The sequence below is a fragment of the Homo sapiens genome, chromosome 5 (genome assembly GCF_000001405.40).
Source record: "Homo sapiens chromosome 5, GRCh38.p14 Primary Assembly".
Classification (NCBI taxonomy): Eukaryota; Metazoa; Chordata; class Mammalia; order Primates; family Hominidae; genus Homo; species Homo sapiens.
The window spans coordinates 148,238,219-148,244,692 of record NC_000005.10 but is presented as its reverse complement, the minus strand read 5'-3'; the positions used below and the strand labels follow the sequence as shown (position 1 = coordinate 148,244,692).

At 35.4% G+C, this 6,474-nt stretch overlaps 1 protein-coding gene across 1 annotated transcript; it reads right to left on the bottom strand.

Moving 5' to 3' along the window:
• Nucleotides 1–1,112: 1,112 nt before the first annotated feature.
• MARCOL (MARCO like) lies at nt 1,113–6,168 on the bottom strand. Its single transcript, NM_001363511.2, has 2 exons — nt 6,047–6,168; nt 1,113–2,247 (listed from the first exon to the last, which is right to left on the bottom strand). The coding sequence occupies exons 1-2, from the start codon at nt 6,093–6,095 to the stop codon at nt 1,439–1,441; spliced, it is 858 nt and encodes a 285-aa protein (NP_001350440.1). The 5' UTR covers nt 6,096–6,168; the 3' UTR covers nt 1,113–1,438.
• Nucleotides 6,169–6,474: the final 306 nt, after the last annotated feature.

Here is a 6,474-nt window from a genome sequence, read left to right as displayed (position 1 = left end):
GGGAGTCTCTCTGAGAGATTACTACTTCATGCCAGCCAACTGATAATGACTAAGAGAACAAATGACTTTCATCTGGAAGGCTTGTGAGGAATGAAAATTTATGAGGTAAAAAAATGGTTTCCATTAAGATGATAAGATAGTGTTCTAGAAAACTGTTTTGAATGTGAGTATCAAACGGAGTATTCAAAGCAATTGTTAAATAAATCAGGAGGCCGATTGTTGGAAGAGAGGCAGGCAAGTGAAAGTAAAAGTGCAGCAGGATTCAAAAGGGAATACAGGAGACATGTGGATCAGATATGTTCACCTATTTGAAATGGTAGCTTCCAAGTAGCAGGCATTAATCTATCCATCTAACATGCAGTTCAGGAGAACTTACTACATGCCACACTTATTCTAGGTTCTGGGGATACATGGTACTTTCTTCAAGAAGTTCATTATCTAGCTGATAATAGACAATTACAAAGTGTTAAGGTGAGTTTAATAATAGAGGAAATCATTAGTATTAGGAATACATGAGTGGAAAATCAAAGGGCTCTGTATGACATGGGTGGTGTGTGAGCAACAGTGACATGAAATGAGGCTAAACAGTATGCAGTATAATCATGAAAATCTGTAAATTCTATGTTTAGGAGTTTAAGTTACATCTTCTAGGTAGTATGAAGCCACTGGGGAATTTCAAGCAGGGGTCTAAAATATCAGAGAGGATTTTTGATTTAGGAATATTACTTCAGTGATTTATAGATTACGGATGGGATAAAAATGGACATGAAAGTTAAACCTGGCAAAGATGTGGGCTCAGTTGATGAGGATCTGAGTTATTCTAGTATAGGTAGGGAGGTTTGAGTGGAAAATAATAGAGGGAAATGAAAGAATAGAAGGGCAGTACATTCATTAATAATCATAAGTGTTATGCATGAAAATAATCAGCTCCAAAGTTCTTCTCATTTTGTTTGATCAGTGTCATTGCAAGTGACTTTTCATTAACACACTGTGGTTTTTAAAGCATTTTAAGTCTTGGAAAAGAGAATTGCTGGGTCAAGTTGACTGAGAAAAAGAAGTTATTAGCACTAACCTCAAAGTCCATTATATTGCCATCAAAAGTGCTGTCAATATTTTTTCTTTGTCGTTGGTTGTAAAATGACCTTAATTTTCTCTGATGGCTAGATGGCTCTGGCTTCCATTCCTGGCCAGATGACCCTATATTTCCTTGCTGGCTAGATGATCCTGGCTTCCCCTGCTGCTTAGAAGATCCTAGATCTCCTTGCTGGTTAGATGCCCCTGGCTTCCCTTGTTGGCTAGATGACACTGGCTTCCCTTGTTGGCTAGATGACACTGGCTTCCCTTGATAGCTAGATGACCCTAGATTCCCTTGTTGGCTAGAAGACTCTGGCTTCTCCTGTTGGCTAGGAGATCCTATATTCCCTTGCTGGCTAGATAATCATAGATTTCCTTGACGGCTGGATGAACCTGGCTTCCTCTGTTTGCTAGAAGGTCCTTGATTCCCTTGCTGGCTAGATAAATGTAGATTTCCTTGTTGGCTAGATGACCCTGGCTTCCCTTGATGGCTAGACAACCCTGGCTTCCCCTGTTGGCTAGAAGATCCTGGCTTCTCCTGTTGGCCAGAAGTTCCTAGATTTCCTTGTTGGCTAGATGACCCTGGCTTCCCCTGTTGGCCAGATGACTCTGGCTTCCCTTGATGGCTAGATAAACCCAGATGCCCTTGTAGGCTAGAAGATCCTAAATTCCCTTTCTGGGTTGATGACCCTAGATTCCCGTGTTGGCTAGATGATCCTGGCTTCCCCTGTTGGCTAGATGACCCCACCATCACTTTCTGGCTAAATGACCCTGGTTTCTCTTGTTGGTCAGATGACCCTGGATTTCCCTGTTGGGTAGAAATCCCTGGTCTCCCTAGTTGGCTAGAAGATCCTGAGTTTTCCTGCTTATTAGAAGATTCTGGATTCCCTTTTTGGTTAGATTTTCCTGAATTCTTTAAAATCCCAGGCTGGTTTAAAACTCCTGCTCTCCCTTGCTTAAAATGTCTTGGTTTCTCTAGCTTGTTAAAATAGCCTGGTTGTCCTTGAAGCCTAAACGTTCCTGGATTTCCTTGTGTATAACTACCTCCTTGCTTATTAGAATCTCTTTGTCCTCCTAGATGGTTAGCTTCATTTTTTTCCTCCAGAATAAGTGCAGGTTTTGGATTCTCTTCTAGTTTGAAAACACTGGTATTTGAAATCTGGGTTGAAGATGCTGGAATAATAACACAACCAGAAAAAAATGAAAATAAAGTTATATACATTAAATAATTTTAAATCAACAACATTTGTCCAAGATATAGTATGTTTTTAATGCTTTCTTGATTTTTTAACCAAGCCCCAAGATAGAATCTTCTCATTCTTCCTCATATCCTGAATATTTGGGTTCCTCCTTTGTTTTCTTTACTGTACTACATGGTTTTCAAAAATTAGAGGATCAATCCAACTTGCCCCATTTCTAAATCATAAAGTCTGAATTATTTGAATTGAGACTTCATTCTACCCCCAATTCCTTTAAATGGTTTTCTGATGAATCAAACTGGCTCTGCTCAATGCTCATTATAAACTTATTTTTTCACACCAAGTACTTTAGTCCTAATTTTCCAGCTTCACTTTACGGATAACGCCATCAACTTTCCAGACAGGAAAAGGCTGGCAGACGTGAGCCCCACTTTATTCTTCTCACTTCCATCTCTATACATATTATCTGTAGCCAACTTTCTTTCCATTTCCATCCCTAAAACAGATGTTTCCTTTCTCCTTCAGAACATGTGTCTTTCAATCAGCTTTATGTTCACCATTTCCAACAAAAGGCCTTAGGATCAATCATGCTCTCTCTGGTGGTTATATTTCTTCTTTCTATTTTGGTCAAATTGCTCAAGAGAATGGTAAATATCACGATTATTTCTTAAACCCTGTGTTTTATAGCTTCTCCAACTTATTTTGGAAGCCCACCTATGCCCTAATGAAATATATGTAATTGTGTGTATGTGTATATGTTTTATGTTTTTTCAGATTATATTCCATAATGAGCAGGATCTAAAAAACAATAAATAAGCAAATGGAATCACTGTAGAGCTAAGTATAAGAGTATTGCATTGGGCTATGCTTCTTTTCCTTTTTTTTTTTTTTTTTTGGTAGAAGTGTATATTTTTCTCATCCTTTCCTTCTTGCTTGATAATTCCTCTTTCTTTATTCACTTTCCTAATGTGGGGTTCTCTTAAAGATTTTAATTAGGCTTACATTTTGTTTTCTGCATAGGTTTTTTTGGTATTTTTTTCAATATACGCAATTTTAAATCATTCCAATGTTGATTATTTCAGATGTATACTTAGGGTCTCACTTGAATTTTCAATTGCTCTGCTTTATATTTCCATAAATATACACATTTATACCTTCAAGTCAATTTAAGCAAAGTCAAATGATAGTCAATTGGTATGCACTGAGCATGCTATGGTATACTCCTGCAGGTGATTAAGGTCCTAGTCAAGACACAGAAGCTTAGCAACCTGCTTAACTAAACTGTGGTATAGTGTGGATATGGATTGTGAGTATAACTTAGCCATTCATTCAATTTAACAAAAAAATATAAATTTAAATAATTTGTTATTATAAAAGAAGCTTAGAAAGAGCTAGGAATGAACAAGACATTCACGGCCCTGTTCACATGAAGCTGAGAAGTCTAGTAGTGGGGCAAATAAGTAGGACTTTATATTATAGTAGAATGATCAATGCTATCACGTGAGGAGTAAACTAGACAATAGTCTCCTAATCAAGGTAGCAGAGAGTGTGGAATCCTTTTTTCTTCCTGGAGGAGGAGGTACATAAGAAACATAAGATTCAACCAGAGAAATTAATGAGAAAAAATATTTTTTTTTAGCTGAGAGATGAGTACATGTATGGATTCTTTCAGTTCTAGGAATAAAACATTGCTCATTAACAGTTGCTAACACCAAGTAGAAATCAATTAAAGTAGATATGTGGAAGAAATAGGAAAAAAGAGTTGGTAACATATTTTTATTAATGACTTTCAGTTTTTTTAACAGGTGACACGAGTAAATGGGGCCAAATCCTAAAGGTGCAAAGAGTAAACAGTTTAAAATTACTTTCCTTTTCTTTCCTGTCTGTACCCCCACTCCAAACCCCCCACAAAAATAATTTCCTAACTACGACATAATTATTTCCTATTACCTATGAAATGGTAAAAGTAAAGTGCCTAAGACACCATCACATTTACAGGTTTTTGTGAATTATTTGATGGATACCCTATGTATTTACAAACATATATGAATATAATTATTCACACAATTGGTGGCACACTCTACACAGAGTTCTACTCTTTGTTTTCTCCAAGGACAATCAATATAATGAAGATTTCACTACCTCAATACATATAGAGCATATTTATTTGTTTCCCCTCGTTGGTTGCATAGTATCCCATTTTATGGGTTTATCATAATTTATTTAGCCAGTGTTCTAGTAATAAACAGGTAGTTTATTTCCCTCTTTTGCTAAAGTAAGTAATGAATCAATGAAAATCCTAATAATACATCATTTCTTACATGGATAAGTAAATTTATTAAATAAAAACTAAGGGTGAATTTTGGAGTAATAAGAGACAATTAAGATATTATAATGTGGTTTCACCATCTATTTTTTAAGCTAAAAACTTGGAAAATAAGTATCTTCAGCTTTGTTTTGTATTTTTTCCCTTCTGATTTTACAAACTCTAGGATGCGCTTAGTATTGCTTTTCTGATTCATCTCTCTTCTTCATCTTCCAATATATATAATCATTGCATATATAATACACTTTCTTCCATCACAAAATACCTTCTAGCACTTAGCAAGGCACTGAAGGTCACAACAGTTACAGTACCTGCCATCATGAAATACGAAATATATGTTCTATAAAGGAATTTTATCTGAATATCTGTTTTCCCCCTTTAAAACACACACACATACACGTATTGTTCTCCTTTCTCTAATTCTATCTCTTAACTCACCCTTTTTTTTTCTTAACTCTGTTACTTCAGCAGCTCCTCAGTGGCATTACTGTACAACTTTTCTTACATCTAATTCATTTTTAGTATTACCACAAGACTGATATTTCTTAACAAGATGAATATTATCACTCTTGTACTCAAAACTCTGAAACAGCTTTGCAGTGTTTCCAATGAAAAGAGAAACACTATTTTGATGTTACAAATATAAGAAGTGGGGGGTCTGAGGCACTTTACTTTTATTATTTCATTTCACTAGGTATAAGAAAGATGGTCAAGTGGGAGCTTATGATTTGGGGATAAATTAGAATCAGTTTCATTATTATAATTTTTATCTTGAGAAATGTATTAACTATCATTTATTATCTTGAGAAATTTACATCTCAAAGCTAGAAATTTACATATCTGAAAATCACCTAACTGTACTGAGGTAAGGAATAGAGAAAAGTAAGTTGAGAGTCAAGTACCTAAAAAAACACAGGTAATGGTAACTAAAGCTATTATCTGTATAGTTCCCGAAATAACTCTATAGGAAAGAATAATAATTTCCGTTTTGCAAATGAGAAAATTGAGATTCAAGTAAGTTAAACAAGTTTCCTCAAATCACATGAATGGGAAAAAAACATCAAGATTTGAACACATTATTATTTGACCATGTAGTCCAGGATCATATCACAAAACCATTTTCTTATAAATTATGAACTTGCATATTCACAAACTCATAAGCCTCTTAGTCTAAATTCATCTTTCCAGTCTAATGTTTTGCCTTTCCTACTCCCTTGTATCTGTTTCTCTTCAGTCACACCAAACTATTCACTCTGATTTCATTCAGTCACTATTTTTATGACTCCAGATCTACATTTATTTTGTCAGAAATTTACCTTCTTCCATTTCTCTGTCTGATGGATTGCCTATTTTTAAATCTTTTGATAAAGTATTGCTAAATCACTTAACATTTCTCATTCTTTCCTTTGAGATTTGGAAGGAAAGCTATTGACTGTGACTTTCTTACCTGAGAACATGGCCAGGAGCATGAAGAGAAAGAAAATGAAAGCCCTCATGGTACCGTCAGTGGTTTCAGACTTGGCTGTTGGGTGGAGTTAAGCCTAACTCTGCAGTAGGTGCTCTTCAAATAAACCATGCTCACTACCACCGTGTTATATATTGGAAAAATTCTTCACCCTAACTGCCAAACACTGTCACTGTCTTTAATAAATTACAGAGTAATTTTCACAAACTGGAAGGTATTGCTTCTTGAATAAACTGTCATTTTCAAAATTAGCTCCATGCCCCAACTCCCATAAATATTCAAACTTTAATATGTGCCTATTAGATATCTTCCTCCCAGAAGAAAATTAAAATGATGAAACCCATCTGGGAAAGTGGTAAATTCAGTTTTCACTTTTTTATTGCTAAGGGATGGCTTATCTTCAGTTAATA

Excerpts from the sequence above, each read along its gene's own strand:
- MARCOL (NM_001363511.2), bottom strand. The coding sequence starts at position 6,095 with ATGAGGGCTTTCATTTTCTTTCTCTTCATGCTCCTGGCCATGTTCTCA. Across the intron at positions 2,248-6,046 it reads GCTCCTGGCCATGTTCTCAG|CATCTTCAACCCAGATTTCA; the intron begins GTAAGAAAGTCA and ends TTATTATTCCAG.